This window comes from Homo sapiens, chromosome 7 (genome assembly GCF_000001405.40).
Source record: "Homo sapiens chromosome 7, GRCh38.p14 Primary Assembly".
NCBI classification, from domain to species: Eukaryota; Metazoa; Chordata; class Mammalia; order Primates; family Hominidae; genus Homo; species Homo sapiens.
The window spans coordinates 143,609,758-143,626,913 of NC_000007.14; the positions used below are offsets into that span (position 1 = coordinate 143,609,758).

Here is a 17,156-nt window from a genome sequence, read left to right on the forward strand (position 1 = left end):
CAGGTCCAATTATAGAGCAAAATAAAATGAGGCATGATTTTGAGTTATTCATGAAGAATAAGAAGAGGCTTCATAGGTACATTTCCTTTTCTATGGCACAGGCATGATGATATTGGGTGTGTAGGGAAGAAAATATCCTAGCTTATACTAGGCTCCCAGTAAGAAGTATTTAAATAGCCAAAATAATGTGGATATCATTTATTAGTATTCAGTGTTCAGATCAGCCTATTAACAAAGTGTGAAAGGTTTCATTTTTTATTCAGAACTGAAGTTGAAAGTAATTAATGCTGACAAAGGGAAAGAAAGCAGAAAGAGATTGAGAATTAGAGGAAGAGAAGTGGAATCAAAGGTAGAGATACTTATATATTCAAAGTGGGGATGAAAAGATCTTCAGTTAATGGAACAAGAACTAGAGGATTAGTGTATTGTTCAAAGCTATAAAATCAAACCAATAGATGTATTAAAAAGTGATGTAACTATCAGACATTTGGAGAGAGATGGACAAAGGAAAGTGGCGATAGTGTAAGTTAAATCCTTATCTTTTGTAATGGGGAATTATTAAAGATGTTGTAAAGTCAGTAAGTCAAGAAATTATTGCTCAAACATATTATTTAAAGTTAGAAAGTTAGTTACCAGACGATCTAAAATAAATATTGTTAAAAGCATTACCTCTAGGGAATGGGATTTAGATTTAAAAAGGGTGGGATGGGAAACTGTGTTTTTCATTTTAAGTCCTTCTGTACTATTTAATTTTTTACCTTGTGCATGTATTACTTTGAAAAAATTTTTAATAAACCCAAATAAAAATCTTCCAGTGACTTCCCATTGATTAAGATGCAACCCAGCTAAAGCCTTTAAAATGGTTTTCAAGGTCCTCAAGTATCTAGGTCCACTTGATGTGTCCAGGCTCATGATATCTCCCCACAAGTCTCTATTTCCAGCCAGATTAAGTATCTTCCAGTTATTAAAACACACTTCACATTCTTTTGTTTGTATAGGTGTTCCACAAAAAACAAAGCCTACTGCTGATCTCACCATGTCTGCTGAGTAAGCTTACCATCTAGTGGGTTTTAATATTTGTTGAATGAAGGAATGTCCAATACAGCATTGAATGAAGTTTGCCAACTTCATTCTTTTCCAAGAAGGCCTTTGATGTTTGCCCCTGTTCTGGGAAACATTTCAAGAAGGACCATCCAGGGCCCTAAGCTTTCCTGCATTTTGTTCATTATTTTCTGGTTGTTTTGTTTATCCTTTGTTCCTTTCTTCCTCTCTCATGTTTATGTCTGTGGCTTGATTAGGGTATTTGTTGTGTTAAGCTTTGATTCCTTTCTCTTTCTCATTTGTATATCTGTTGTAATTTTTTCTTTGTGGTTAGTATTGGGGTTACATTAAAAATCTCTCATACTTATAATAGACTATTTTAAGCTGATAACAAGTTAACTTTCATTGCATACCAATACTCTAGACTTTCATTCTGCACCCAAATTTATAATTTTGTTGCTTTAATATACATCTTTATATATTGTTTATTCCTTAACAACTTATCATTGCTATAATCATTATTCCAATTTTCACTTTTTGGCATCCCACAGAGCTGCATTTTTTTAATTATTATTATTTTTTAAATGGGGTCTCATTATGTTGCCCAGGTTGGACTCAAACCCCTGGGCTCAAATGAGCCTTCCATTTCAGCCTCCTAAATAACTGGGACTACAAGCACATGCCACAGCACCCAGCTGTTTTGGCTTTTAACCTTCATACTAGAGGTTTGAAACATTACATATCACCATTGCAGTAATGAAGCATTATGAATTTGATAATGCATTTATCTCCAGCAGTGAGATTTATACTTCATGTTTTTTTATGGTAGCAATTATCATAAAAACTTTTTTTTCCAATAGAAATACTCAAGCATTTCTTGTAAGTCTGGTCCAGTGGTAATGAGTTCCCTCAACTTTTGCTGATCTGGGAAAGACTATTTCTCCTTCATTTCTGAAGCAAAGATTTGCTGGTATAGTATTCTAGGCTAGCAGCTTTTTTTCTTCTAGTATTTTAAATATATCATCCCATTCTCTCCTGGCCTGCAAGGTTGCTGCTGGGAAATCTGCTAATAGTCCAATGGCAATTCCCTTATATGTGACTTGATGCTTTTCTCATGCTGCTTTTAGTATTTTTTTCTTTGTCTTTGACTTTTGACAGTTTGGTTATATGCCTCAGAGAGGACCTCTTTGAGTTGAATCTTTGTGGGATCCTTTGAACTTCATGGATCTGGATGTCCATATCTCTCCAAGACTTGGGAAGTTTTCAACTATTACTGTGTTAAATAAGCTTTCTTTGCCTTTCTTCATCTCTTCTTCTTAAGTTGCCAAAATGCAAACATTTGTTCACTTATGGTGTCCCATAAATGCCATAGGCTTCTTCATTCCTTTTTTTTTTTCTTTACCTCTGACTGGACTATTTCAAAAGGCCTGTTTTCAAGTTCAAAAATTCTTCTGTTTGATCTATTTTGCTGTTGAAGCTCTCAATTGCGTTTTTTATTTCATTCATTGAATTTCTTGGCCCCAAGATTTCTATTTTGTTCTTTTTTATGATATCTCTCTCTTTGTTGAATTTCTCATTCAGATCATGAACTGTTTTTCCCGATTGTTGAATGATCCGTTTGTGTTCTTTCATGTCTCACCAAGTTTCCTTAGGCTCACTATCTTGAATTCCTTTTCTGGCAATTCATAAATTTTTATTTTTTTATTGGGGTCAGTTACTAGAGAATTATTGTGTTTCTTTGGTGGTGTCATGTTCCCTTGCTTTTTTATGTTTCTTGTATCCCTGCACTGGCATCTGTGCATCTGATGGAATAATCACCTTTTCTAACTTTGTAGCATAACTTTCAGCAGAAAAGACTTACACCTGCAGATGTGTCCTAGCATGTTGGTTGGGTAAGGTACATTTGTTTTTGTTCTGGGTGGATGCAGTAGTGTAGTCTCCATGCAGCTTCTTTAGCTGTAGTTAATGTCAGTGGTGCCTGCAAGTACCTCAGTGGCCTTGGCTGCAGAAGTTTGTGTGGCTGGTATGCCCACTCAGCTGCTTGTCCCCTGAAGGCTGGGCACTTAGCTGGTCTGTTTTCTGAGGATCCATGGCTGGTAGGTTCTCCTTCGGTGCTTATCTCTTGGTGGCTGCATAGTGAGCTGGTCTGTGCTCTAGGGAAGTGCAGGGCTGGTTGTCCAGTAGCTCTGCTCAGTTGCTGCTCCTCTGGAGGCAAGGCACCAGACTGGTTCATACTCACTACCAGGTTACCAGGTTTTTTGTGTCCTACTATCCCTAGTTTCTTGGTAACTGTTCCTTCTCCATCTTCATTAACATTTCTGTCTGAAGGTAAATATTTGTATAATACAAAGACCTTTTCTTACCTGAATTAGCATCTGTCCTATTTTCCATGTATCATAATAGAGATTTACCCTCACAAATGGGAGTAGTTTCCAGATTGCCCATGTTATCACAGAAATAACCCAAATTATTTTATCTTCTGCCACACCACTGAGTCTGAATTTCTGTAAAGAGAAATTGAAATATGTCATGAGTTTACTTTCCTCTGTTGTCTAACTCCCATAGTCAACTGGAGCTCTCTGATGAGTATTGGCCTTGCAGCCAATCTTCAAAGCAGTATTTATCAGAAACACTTCCTATCTCCTCTTCACGGGATTAATCTGATCTATTTAGTGCTTAAAGCAATGTCCTCACCCAAGGTCAAAACCTCACCTAATATATGTACCTAACAGGCCAACAGGTAACTAGGCCTTAGATGTTGACTCTTTTTTGCCAACAAAAGTAGCAGACTCTATCCCTTCTTTCAAGACTATTTCCCTCCTCTGTTCTCTACTCCTTACAAAGCCTTTGTACTCCTGCTTGGCTTCTACTCTTAAAATGATTTCTTTCTTTGACCCACATCATTGCAGTCAGTCTTCAATAGGGAGGGGGCAGAAGGTGATCTTCAACTTCTCAGAGATCTTTCTTCTAACTACACAAAAAAAACAACTTACCTCACAATCAAGACAACTAAGAAATGCTTCCTATGCATTTGGATTCTTGTGCATTTCAGTGCTATAAAGAAGCATTTCTTTGATAGGAAAGCTTGAGTAGCTTAAGTTATTGATGTTCTAGTCTGAGACTGGGTGCGTTTCATAGGTGCTCATTATATTAGAAATAAATAGAATAAAGGGATGAGTAAATAAAGATAAATAGAGGTTGGGAAGCAACTGCAACTTTAAAAAAAAATGTAGTGACCAATGATTACAGTTAGGAACCAAGGTTTATTTTAATACAAATATGTGTACCTGAAGGTCATTAAAAAGTTACTTCTATTCTTAGGAACTCAAATATACATAATTGGTTAAGAAATCTGTACATGTAGGTACTAAAAAAATATTTCCATGAATCGCTTAGTGACATAAAATTCATTTTTCACATACTGCCAAAATTATTTAGAATATTTAAAGTCTGAGATAGTGCCCAAAGGGGGTTAGGGGAGGACAAAATGATCAAACATACAATATAAAAACAATCTATAAAAGAGTCTAGAAGAGATCTCACAGGTTTAGAGAGAAGACCCCTCTTCTTCCTGAACAGACCCCGTAGGCCAGGGCCCAGCAGGCTTACCTATTGTCTGTGGTTTCTGTGCTGCAAACAGGAGCCTAAAACCTGCAAATAGGTTATAAACCTTTTCTTGACCCTCCACCAAGGTAGATAGGCAAGTGGAGCTTTAATAAAACAGAGTTTTTCCTTTTCTTCTTGCTGCTTGTGTAGCCTTGGAGCCGACCTATTCCAAAGGAGAAAATAATAAGCCTTAATTAAGGCTTTTGACATTTAACCACAAGACAACTGGCACTATGAGCTTGTTGCTCTCAACACCTAGAGCAGAGTTAAATCTCAGATCCTCATAGAAAACTCTGAGATAAACTATTTCAGCTGGCAAAAGCATTAAAAGACAAACAACTGACTTGTGTCCGTAATGTTAGAGTGACCTTTAGCAGAAAGCCTGGTGGATCTCTAGCACTGGTAAAAGTACTTTTGGCTATAGGGCATTATTAATGTTATTAACGCACTAATAGTACATAATATTATTAATGCCCTACAGCCAAAGACCAATGGAAACACATCTATAATTAAACAAGTTGAATCTGTTGTTCATTGCAGCTAGGGAAAATGCACACCATAGAGAACTGTGGGTATATCAGTAAAAAGGTGTCAGAAAGAACCTATTATAGGCTGTGGGCTTTGGTTGGATAGTTTTGGGAAGTGTCTGAAGAAGGGAGACTTTGTTTTGGATGACATACTGTCAAGAACCAGAAACAATTCTACAACTACGATCTCAATACATATACAAGGAGAGCTGACTAAAATAAGCATAAAGGCTGGGCGCGGTGGCTCACGCCTGTAATGCCAGCACTTTGGGAGGCCAAGGTGGGCAGATCACCTGAGGTCAGGAGTTTGAGACCAGCCTGACCAACATGGAGAAACCCCGTCTCTACTAAAAATACAAAATGAGCCGGGCATGGTGGCGCATGCCTGTAGTCCCAGCTACTCAGGAGGCTGAGGCAGGAGAATCGCTTGAACCCAGGAGGCTGAGGTTGTGGTGAGCTGAGATTGCACCATTGCACTCCAGCCTGGGCAACAAGAGTGAAACTCTGTCTCAAAAACAAACATAAATAAAATGAGAATAAAGCTGCGATTGGTTTCTAAAACGTGCAATTACTCATTTTAGATAACAGAAGGATGATCAGTATTTTGTGGGTTGCATGGTGATCGTGTATGTGCCTTACTTTATGACGGTCTCTGAGTGACCTTATCTGATGTTGATGTTTTCTGAAATTGTTTTTGTACAATGGGAGAACAATATGGCCTCGCTGTTAGCGCCAGACAAGTTTCTGGATGGCAGGAGCTGCTGCTTTTTTTTTTTTTTTCTCAGTTCAAAGGTTTAAAAAGGGAGAACCTTTGCTCTTCTTATAGAGATTGAAGTCTGCATTTCTCTTGATTGACCACAAGGGACAGACTGAAAAAAAAATAATAGCAGAAAGTATGCATGATGTACCTTGGGAAAGGATAGTTCCGTACAGATCCCCTAGACTTGGTGGAAGTCTTGGGGCAAACCAAAATGAAATTAAGACTACACGTCTCAATATATAGTGAAAAGCCTTGAGAAGGAATGATCTTGATGTCACAGGAACTTTGTAATTAGTCCACTGGGAAATAATTGTTTACATTTTCAAATAAGTAAATAAATAGACAATAATAGTCGCTGGTCCCATAGGAGTAGGGATTTAGACTCACTCTCTGTAGGAATTTTCTTATATAGTATTGACCTACTATGACCCTCAATTCCCATACACTATCCCCCGGCATATTGATATCTACAACCCTTGTGGGATTGTGAATGAAGACATTTATATTACACTGATGTAGGTGCAATTAAAGAAAATTGGATCTACTGAGCACCTGTCCAATGAACCTGATATTTCAAAGGCAGAAAGAGAAAAAGGACATCCACTCTCATTCTTGGGCTAACTCAGTTCCACTGGCTCCAAGACAACTGAAATCTTCAGGACAAAATCAAACTTTATGTCTGGTCTGGTGGTGGGAGAAACAGTTTATAAATGTAAGAATATCTCTTCTCACCCCCACCCCAGCCATGTTCCTTACTAGAGGAAGAAAGTTTCAGTACCTCTGGAGTGGCAGTGATGTGTTCCAAGACATCCTCTGTGATTGGAATATAACTGGCTCTTACCACGTATGTTTCACACACTTATGATCCAAACAGAAAAAAAAAATGTATGCCCAAGTATATTTTACAGATATGCCAAAAGCAGAATATGAAAACTTTTATAACTCTGAATTAGGGCTGGCCGCTTGTCAAGAGAAGCAACAAACTCCCCCATTGCTTCAAAGTTCCACTGTTTTCAATGAAGACGCAGGCAGGAACTTGCCCTTGGAGATAGGCCATGCTACAATTGGAATAAAAGTTATTATAAATGTACTAAAGAATGAAACTTAATGGGTGAGTGTTTCATAGATACTCTCAAGTTAGTAACCTTGCTTTTTACTTCCACTACAACACAATTTTAGTAATTACACTTGAGAGATTTAAAGTGAGGAGATATAATTATGACAGTACTTGTGTTATTCTGGGTCCTCCAAGAAGCAAAAGCCAAGACAGGATCAGATATGCGAGAGATTTATTAAAGGAAATGCCTGTGAGAGAAAATGTCGAGGGAGCCAGAGAAGGCCGGGAGAGCCACCATTAGACTGCAATGTAGGTTTAACCCTTGGGAAGGAGACAGCAAAGGAAAGACAGGCTTCCACTGAAGTACAGGTCTCAGAGAGTTTCTTTCAGGACCATGAGGAGTCCTTGAGCCAAACTCACCTATCGGGAGAGTCCCATGTCTTCCAGGAATGGGCCTGCCTGAGGATCCTCACTACATTTGATCACCAGCCTGGAGAAGCCCCTGGCAGCATGGCCTTGGCGCCAAGGATTCCAGAGCACACCAGCTGGGGCCATCTGGCAATTTCATACCCACCCCCTGCAGTTGGACATCTGAGAGGAACATTTTCATCACCACCATAGTACTCATTCTTAAGGCAGCTGTAGACACCTGTTCTGGATCATCTTAAATAGTGACTTAGTGAACTTCCCCAGTGACTCATACCAGTAAATGTCCATAGGTGGATTCATCCATCTCTGTTCCTAAATTAGAGTGTGGCTAATTCTTCCCAGATTCTTAAGGTCCTTAAAAGAAAGAATATATGGTACCACATTAAGTTAAGCTCATGACTGAAAATAATTTAAGAAGGAGGCCAGTGACTATTAATAGTAGCCCACAATTAGAAGGCATATGTATGAGTAACCCCTGCATCTGGCTTAGTGATAAACTGCAATTACTGCAGCAATTGCTCTCTATTTGACAAAAAATGGACTCATGTACCACTGGTAAAGATAATATTTCTGATTTGTGTTTGCCTCTTGTATATGCTGGACAATGAAGTATAATATTGTTTATGTATATTTATTACGTATAACCCAGAAAGAGTCTGTCATGGAAGCACAAGAAGTATGAGTTAGCCTGCCTGATTTAAGCTAATACAGATCTATCCTTGGAAATGGAGATGAATTCATTGTCCCCTGAATCTCATAAAGGAGAGGTGGATTATCTGATTTAAAAAAAAAATGGATTTGGTTAGAAAGGACAATAGGGGTAGTGTAGGGAATAGATGTTGAGGAGGCAACCACAGTGTTTACTAAATGGTGCTTTTAAAAAATCTTCCTCCACACTGTAGAATGGAATCCAAACTCCCTAGTATGGCAGCCAAAGTCCCTCTAAACCGAGCCCAAACTTCTCTTTAGAGCTAGCACTATGCAAGTTCTGCTAACAAGTTTCAGTCACTATGAACATTTTGTCTTTCTCAAATTAAGCCTTTCACATTCATATCTCTGTGCTTTGGAATCTTATACAGCCTCACATTGTAATACCTTCCCCTTTATCTCCCCGCAAATATACATTTTTCTAAGCTGAGTTTCTGTGTCACCTTCTGTGCACATTCTTCTCTAATCCTTTGATCAGAAATAATTGCTGCTTCTTTTATGTGCCCTTGCACCTGATTCGTAGCCAATTTTGGTATAGTTGTTTTCTTGTCTTTTTTCCTCTCTAGATTTACTGACCATAATAGCATTTCTATCTCCCAGAGTGCCTCACAGAATAAGTGTCCAGTAAGGATATGTTGACTTTCACTGAATGGCGTCTGTTTTCTCCCAAGTAAAAGGAAAGATCTGGGGCCTGCACCTTTGCATAAGCAGTAACCATTTCGAAGCTTATCCAACCCACCTTATTTTCGTTGTTGTTGTTGTTGTTCCGTTTTCTTTTATTTTAGGTTTCTAGCTGCCTGAACTCACGGTTTTTAGTTTCTGTCTCTAGTGAAAGGGGAAAAGAGGGATGAGGAAGGGGTTTTACTCGCCTAACCAAAAACAGAAACTAAGAACCCATGACTGTATTCTCTCTCGGACACCCTTTAGTCAGAACGTAAATGCTGGTTACCATCTTTAATCTTTTTTTTCTTCTTTTTTTTTTTTTTTTTTTTTTTTAGGAACCGTTATGCCGTTCCTATGTTGTTAGGTTCCATTCCTCAGGCAGCTCCTGCTCCCAAATGGCAGGTACTTTCTGCTCTCTGACCCTGGAAAAATCACCTTTGTTTAAAGCCCCTTTCTTCTATTAGAGCAACACCAAAATACTCTCAGGAGTTAATTTAGAACAATAGTAGTACTTTACCATGAGGAGTGAGGTTGATGTAGGTGGAGACTGGTTAAAACCTAAGAGTACAAACACACAAAAGATACCGAGCCAGCTTTTTGTTGTTGTTGTTGAGACGGAGTCTCGCTCTGTCGCCCAGGCTGGAGGGCAGTGGCATGATCTCTGCTCACTGCAACATCCGCCTCCCGGGTTCAAGCAATTCTCCTGCCTCAGCCTCCCGAGTAGCTGGGATTACAGGCCTGTGCCACCACGCCCGGCTAATTTTTGTATTTTTAGGAGAGACGGGGTTTCTCCATGTTGGCCAGGCTGGTCTTGAACTCCTGACCTCAGGTGATCCACCCACCTCGGCCTCCCAAAGTGCTGGGATTACAGGAGTGAGCCCCCGCACCCGGGCCTGAATCAGCTTTTAACGTGGAACTTTACTGACCCACTTTCTTTGATGTCCATCTCCCACTTCAGCTCCCAAAGGTCAGTTGTTCCCTGATATGAAGCCTAAGAACTCAACGTACTTCACCGCACGTTGGATTTCTAGCCGGAATTATTCCAAATTCTGGCAAGTCTTATCCACAATTTCTTTTCTGTGTAAGTTTCTCCTTGCTCTTTATTTCTGAAACCTGAATGTATTTGGTCCTCTGCCAATCAGATTTCCACTAGTCCTCCGAAGAGTCAGTTATTAACTCACTAATTCGACAGATATTTTTGGACGTTCACTATATCCTTATTTATTTAGCATATATTTAGTTATTTATTAAGAAACTAAAGCCTATTCTATGTCAGAAATGAAAATAGGCAATGAGGACTCAATGGTGGGCAAAATGCAGACAGACTACTTTTTTCCCCTCATTCTAGCACAGTCATCACTTTCCTAGGTAAGACGTTCCTAAACTCCAGACTACACCAAATCCTCCTCCTGACCACACCCTTCCACCTTGATTTTCACCTTCTGACCTCTCTTGCGTAGAAATTCGAGCACCAGCCACTCTATAGCTTTAGCTTAATTTCTCCAGCCATGCACGGACGAATCTGTGTTAGTGATGCCACAGGCACGTTTCCCTCCCAGCAAGAATATAACTTGCTGGGCAGCATTTCTGTGGATACTTTGAGAGAAAAATGCCCTAGTTGAGCACCCCGCACCATGGCCATAAGCATCCACCGGGCTCGAAGTGCATGGCCCGCAGCTGACCACTAGGGGGCAGCCCTCCACGCAGAGGCTCGAGCGACGGAGGCGACGCGGCGGCTACCGGCTCTGCTGAGCCCACCCCAAGATCGGAGGGAAGGGAGCCTGATTCCACGCGGGGCCTCCCCCGTGGCATACGTTGTTGTTAGGGAACTATTCGCCCCAAATATGGTTTATTGGAGACTTAGGGTTTGCTTTTCTTATCAAGTGCGACAGCAAACTGGCTGGGTCCCCTCTCGCATCCAAGAACCCGCAGAGACCCTGAGGGAGCCGGTTTGGGGCCCCATGCAGGCCAAAGCATCCCTCCGGGAAGGCGGGGTCGCTCACCTGGTAGGCGCCCCGAGAGCCCGCAGCACGGCCCGAGGTGGGGTCCACCGATGGAACGGGAGACCACGGGCGTGGCTCAGGGAGCGGTAGCCGCGCCCCGGGCCCGCCTCAGGGTCGGCTCCGCCTCACCCCAGCCTGTGCCCCGCCTCCGGGACAGCCCAGTTTCCGAGACCTCCTAGCCTCCAAGACAGCCCCGCCGCCAGAACAGCCTCTCCTCCAGGACCGGCCAGCCTACGAGAGAGCCCCGCCTACGGTACAACCCGCCTCCGGGACCGCAGGACTCCACCTCCGAGACAGCTCAGTCCCCAGGACAGTCCCGCCTCCGAGACGGCCCCGCCTCCAGGACGGCCCCTACCTCCGAGACCGCCCCGCCTCCGGGACCGCCCCGCCCCGCCTCGCCTCCGACCCGTCCCCCGCGCGCCACTGCAGAGCCTGTCCGTCAGTCCCTAGGTATCCGCACTGCTCAGGGGTGAGTTTTCCAATCCCAGCGGGTCCTGGGGTGGGGGCGGTAGCTGAGCACCTAGGGCACTGGGGGTCGCCGCAAAGTGCTGGAGGCCCCAGACCATACCCGGCGTCAGGGGGTGTCCCTCCCTTCTTAGGTCTAGGTCTTTGGTTTCATTTCGTTTTGTTAGTCTGGTGCTATTTGCAGTTTGTCTCAAAACACGTTTCTCCCTCCTATTTGAACTTGTAAATTACGAATTTGACAAAGATGTGCATGGTGTGTGCGTGCACGAGGGCACATTTCGTTGCGGAATGCTGGGTCAGCTTTCCGGGACATATTACTCATCTGAGGTTTTTTGTCTGTTTTTGTTTATCCTGTCAAACTGGTACTGCCCCAGAAGTGAAAGACGTCGCTTGTCTTCTGGGAGGTAGCTAGCACGATCTTGAGCTCAGGCTTCCGGATCTCTCTCGGCTGCTTTTTTCCACTGGTAACTTCTGAGGCTGAGATCAGGTACCCGCATTCTCAATGCTCTGCCGAGTATTGGCTCTCTTTTGTGAATTTCTTTCCCGCGAGCAGTATTAAGAAAAAGGTGGCGGATAGGAAGGGAAGAGGGGAAGAGATGGAATTCTACAGGAAATGCAGGGCATGCTCAGAATGCCAACCTTTCCGAGCTTGGAGAGATTTAGTGGAAGAAAGTAGCAGGAAAAACGTCCAGTAATCACTGGCATGCCAGACCCTGGAGAAGCCAGGCTGAGGCGCTCTGCAAGTTTCACCTTAGAGAGAGTGGACGAAATGTAACGGTTCTTGTTAGAGTTCTTGTAGAGGACGATTGTGGATGAGAATACATCCTGGGGACTAAAACCATATTGGTTTAGTCTGGAATGATTGCCAACTAAAGGGACTGATGTTTGAGAGAGATGGTGAGAGATTAACCAAATGAGGTGGTTGACTGCATATAGAAGCAGGAGGGAGAGAGGAAGGAGGCACTTGTGGCTCAAGGGCTTGGTGTGTGTTTTAGTTTAGATTCTGCCCTAAAGCAAAGCCTTATGCAAGGGCTTACCTGCAGGTAATTTTTTGGGGGTAAGTGAGACCAAAAAGCCCAAATGAGGAAGTGGAGAGAATGAGACAAGGAAAAAAGGGAAAGCCAGGAGGAGCATGTGGCTGAGGGTCTTCCACATGGCGCTCCTTTCCTCCGGGTGCCTTCCGAGGACCTCTGATGGGCACCTCGGGAAAGCCACGGGGCACTCTTCTGTGAATCCCCGCTCTACTGGGCGAAGCTCACCCTAGTGTCAACTCACCGCTACTTCAGGGCTGCCTTGTGCACCTGCAGAGGTGAGAAGCCATCAGAGCACAGAGGAAAGTCCCTTACAGTGGGCTCGTCAGAGACGCGCAAAGGGAGGCGGCACAGGCAGCCAGGGGACTACTGCACTACTGCAATCTGCAACGCTGCCCTCGGCAACCCGGGAAACTTAAAAGGACAGCAAAGGGACAGACACTCTCGTTTATTCCGTGCTCACTGTATGTGTACCAACCCCAGACAAGGCATTTTTAGACATATTCTTTGCTTTATTTTATTTTACTTTACTTTATTTTATTTTATTTTATTTTATTTTATTTTTTGAGGCAGAGTCTTGTTCTCTCGCACAGGCTAGAGTCCACTGGTGCGATATCGGCTCACTGCAACCTCCGCCCCCCACCGTCAGGGTTCAAGAAATTCTCATGACTCAGCCTCCCCAAGTGGCTGGGATTACAGGTGCACGCCACCATGCCCAGCTATTTTTTGTAGATTTAGTAGAGACAGGTTTCGCCATGTTGGCCAGGCTGGTCTCAAACTCCTGAGCTCAGGTGATCCACCGGCCTCGGCCTCCTAAAGTGCTGGGATTACAGACATAAGCCACTGCGCCTGGCCTATCCATATTCCTTTAATCTTCAAAAACAATCTTCCCATGGCTGTATTATTCTCTTTTTGTAGATGGGGAAACTGAGACTGAAGTCATTTATCCAAGAGGGGCTGCTTAAAGGGACAAATAGTCTCAGTGTTAGGCACAGCCAATTTTAAAAGACCTCCGGAAACTGCATAATGCTACCAAATAGAGGAGGGTCCTCTCCATTAGGGCAGATTTGATAAATTAGGGGGCACTTTCCAACTTAGCAAAGCTGTCAGAAGAAAGGCATGTTTTGACAGGTCTATGACCTTTCTGTTCAAAAAAATCAAGCACTGTGTCCACTCAGGCACACGAACTTAACTATCACCTTGATTTACTGGCCCTGCAGGATCTAGCCCGTCCCTCCCTCCTCCTGGGGTCCTGCTCCTCCCTGCTCCTGGCTCTCAGCCACCCCAAAGTGGTCTCGTTGCTGGAATGCCCTTTGCTCACTGCATTTCAGGTTTCAGCTTCAATGCCACTTTGTCAGAGTCCTTTCCTATCACCCAATCTAAAGTAGTCTTCCAGTTCCTCCATGTCACATCATTGTGTTTTATTTTCATCATAGTGATTGTTGCATTTTATTTATCTGTTTATCTACCTATTTATTCATTATCTTTCTCCTTCTAAAATATTCAAATCACGAAAAGGGAAACCTTATCTGTTTTGTTTCTTGCTGTACTCCCAGTGCTAGAACAGTGCTTGGCCCACAATGGGGAATCCAGTAAAATTTGGAGGTGAATGCATTTAGTTGTTTGCTTTTTTCACCTGTTCCTTCATCTGTTCTGACCAGCAGTGCTTATCAGTATCTCTTAAATACATGAAAGTCTTTGCTTCCCCCTGCAGCAGCTGATAGAACCATGGCGACCATTGCTGCTGCTGCGTTTGAGGCCCTCATGGATGGAGTGACATGCTGGGATGTCCCCAGAGGCCCCATCCCCAGTGAACTCCTTCTTATTGGAGAAGCCGCCTTCCCCGTGATGGTGAATGACAAGGGCCAGGTGCTCATTGCTGCCTCCTCCTACGGCCGAGGCCGCCTCGTGGTTGTGTCCCATGAGGGCTACCTGTCGCATGCTGGCTTGGCTTCATTTCTCCTCAATGCAGTGAGCTGGCTCTGTCCCTGTCCTGGGGCTCCCGTGGGAGTGCGTCCATCCCTGGCACCTCTAGTAAACATCCTACAGGATGCTGGGCTTGAGGCACAGGTCAAGCCAGAACCAGGAGAGCCCCTAGGGGTTTACTGTATCAATGCCTACAATGACACCTTGACTGCAACGCTGATCCAGTTTGTGAAACATGGAGGGGGCTTGTTAATCGGGGGCCAGGCCTGGTACTGGGCCAGCCAGCACGGCCCTGACAAGGTGCTCTCCAGGTTCCCTGGGAACAAGGTGACAAGTGTAGCCGGAGTGTACTTCACTGACACCTATGGGGACAGAGACCGGTTCAAGGTCTCTAAGAAGGTGCCCAAGATCCCACTCCATGTCAGGTGAGTGTTTGTTCCCCTCTTAGGGAGTCTGACTCAGGATAAACAATAGAGTTGGTTCCCCTCTTCAACAAGCTTCCATTGCAATACAGGTGATTTTCCACTCAGTTTGGAACCACCACAAATCAAAAGCAGGATGATTAAAATGCACCAAGACACAAGAGAGGCTGGGCCCTCACTGCCACTCCCTCCTGTGGCCAAAGCTGAATAGAAAAGCTTGTCTTACCACTTTATCTCCATGTCTAGTAAATAGAACCTAGAGAGTGCTCATCAATACCTCTTAAATGCATGAAAGAATATTTGTTTGTTTGTGTGAGCACCGATTGTTGATCATGCTGCATTCTGGACAATGGGGGTCTAGCAGAGATCGAGGCAGGCAAGTCATGCCATCATGAGGTTTGTATTCCAGGGGAGAGATAGGTATTAAGGAAACTAATATATATGTGCTCTATCAGGTATTGCTAAGATCCATGAAAGATGATAATATAAGTGGATAGCATGACAACAGGAAGGCTGATGGAGGCTATTTTATTTAAGATGTTCAGGGAAGTCCTATCAGTCAGACCAAGTTGGATTGGTCAGGATTTGTTGGCGTTGCTAGCAGAAGGGATTTAGTATGGGGAATTGACTATACCCATGATAGAGGAGCTGAAAATACACACAGGGGACAGCAAGTAACCCAGAGATCAGCAACAGCAGAACCAGCAGAGGGAGATGGTGGTATTACTGAAGTCCAGGTGCTGCGGCCACCTGGTAGAAGCTGGAGCCATGCTATGCCTTCCCAGCAGGAGCTGGAACCACAGATGAAAGGTCTGTCTGCTAGAAGCTGGAGTCTCAGAGAAGACACTGTGGTTACCAGAAATACAGCCTGAAGAGAGAAGCAAGCACTTAAACTCCTTCCTTCTTCCTTCCTGATTTCAGTCTTCTACCTCTCTCTCCCATGGGCTGAACCCACCAGGATCCAGGGAACAGGAGAACCAAAGAAATGCAGTTTTCTGCAACACGGAGGATGACCAAGATGAAAGGGGAATAGAGATGAGTGCAAACAAGCTCATGGCCGGCTTGGAAGGCTGGTCTGGTAGGTAGCACTTGAAAGGAGACCTCAAGGAAGTGAGGGAATGAGCCATGTGGGCATCTGTGAGAGGAAGATTCCAGGCAGAGTGAGGAGTGAGGGTGAGAAAACCTGGAAGGGAAGCCTGCTTAGTATGTTCCAAGGGAAAGGGAGTGGCCCTTCTATAAGGTCGGAAGGCTCTGCAAAGCTCCAGGGGAGAATAGCTGAAGGCAGCTGTTCTGTGACCCTGAGGCAGAGGGCAAGGAGTAGGTACAAGGGAGTGTAGGAGAATTTGTCTTGATCAAGCCTGTTTGTTTGAAGTTGTCCAGGAGCTGACATTTGAACATCCGCACACATGATGTTCTCTGAATGAGGAACAATAAATGTTAGTCATTTACAGATTGTGTAGGCTCCAGGCTTTCGGCATTATGCCTGCAGTAAATAAAAGCAAGCAGCTTCAGCTTCTCGGGGCTGCTCTCTGGCCACTACAGCCAGGCAGTCACCTAGCTGTTCTTACACTGCATACTTGTGTCTGAGTACTCATTTCATCCATTGGCCAGGGACACACCTGGCAATCAGGGAAGCCAGAATGATGGGAACTCAGTGAATGATAGCTCAGGTCATGTAAGAACTGACAGGCCAGGAGTAGAACTTTAGACCTTATTTGCAGTGAGATGGGAAGACATTTTGTATTCTCTACAGAAGATTGCTATGATGTGACTTAAATTTCAAAAGGAACCCTCTGATTGATGGTGGAGAACAGACTGTGGGAGGCAAAGATTGAAGCAGCAGACCAATCGGGAGGCCACTGAAGTAGACCACAGGAGAGATGGTGGTGGCCCAGACAAGACTGATAGAAGCTGTGGAGCTACTGAGAACAGGTTCCATTCTGGACACACCTCAAAGGGAGAACCCAACAGGCTTGGCTGATGGAGTGAGTAAGGAAAAAGAGGAGTTGAGATTTTTGGTCTGAAAAAGACCAAAAATTAAACACAGGTGCTGCTGTTTAGTGATCTGTGAAAGGACAATGAGAAGATGGATTAGAGGAGATCAGGAGTCTCATTTTGGATGTTTTAGGTTTCAGATATTAGTGACTACTTACTTATGTTTGGCCACATGTAGCAGAAGCCTTAGTATAGCAGATTAACCATGTAGCAGTTTATTTTTTCTATGAAACATGAAGTACAGGTAGGTAGTCCAGCTCTGGGGCAGTGACTCTATGATGTCCCATGGTCAGTCTCTGTCTCCCTGTCACTGCCTGACCCTGTCATGGTGTGTTATTTTATCCTTATGGCTACAAGTTTGCCACTACTACTCCAGGCACCATAATTACACCCATGCAATAATAAATTGGAATGGATACACCTACTTTTAGTTTATAAAACCATGTATTTCCTGGAAGCCCTAGACTTCTATTTATATTTTAACGGCCAGCCTAGTTAAATCAGTAGTCCCTAGCCTTTTGGT

General features: G+C 43.6%; 1 protein-coding gene and 1 long non-coding RNA gene across 15 annotated transcripts in view, besides 1 other annotated feature; one reads left to right on the top strand and one right to left on the bottom strand.

The window, feature by feature from the left end:
* LOC101928466 (uncharacterized) overlaps nucleotides 1-11,157 on the bottom strand; it is a 32,145-nt gene extending 20,988 nt beyond the window's left edge. Inside the window, exons 1-4 of one of the 5 annotated variants that reach the window (XR_928088.3) lie at nucleotides 8,868-8,896; nucleotides 7,412-7,774; nucleotides 4,651-4,810; nucleotides 771-3,545 (exon numbers count right to left, since the gene is read on the bottom strand). This is a non-coding gene — a long non-coding RNA (uncharacterized LOC101928466). Of the gene's footprint in view, nucleotides 1-770; nucleotides 3,546-4,650; nucleotides 4,811-7,411; nucleotides 8,953-10,794 lie in introns of those variants that run through there. The other 4 variants (XR_007060573.1, XR_242200.5, XR_928087.4 and 1 more) reach the window with 4 other exon arrangements.
* Nucleotides 11,122-11,281: a silencer, noted in NCBI's record as "silent region_18725". NCBI's record gives its function as "represses an Ori minimal core promoter by ATAC-STARR-seq in GM12878 lymphoblastoid cells {active_cell/tissue: GM12878}" and the evidence as "EXISTENCE:reporter gene assay evidence [ECO:0000049][PMID:35858748]".
* The window catches only part of TCAF2 (TRPM8 channel associated factor 2), a 109,437-nt gene continuing 103,497 nt past the window's right edge, over nucleotides 11,217-17,156 (top strand). For 7 of the 10 annotated variants that reach the window (NM_001363538.2, NM_001438662.2, NM_001438665.1 and 4 more), the window contains exon 1: nucleotides 11,217-11,263. Coding sequence is in view for 1 of the 10 variants with exons in the window: in NM_001365427.2 (NP_001352356.1) it covers nucleotides 14,019-14,641 (623 nt within the window). In the remaining 9 variants the exon portion in view is untranslated. Of the gene's footprint in view, nucleotides 11,264-11,633; nucleotides 11,747-14,004; nucleotides 14,642-17,156 lie in introns of those variants that run through there. The other 3 variants (NM_001438663.2, NM_001365427.2, NM_173678.3) reach the window with 3 other exon arrangements.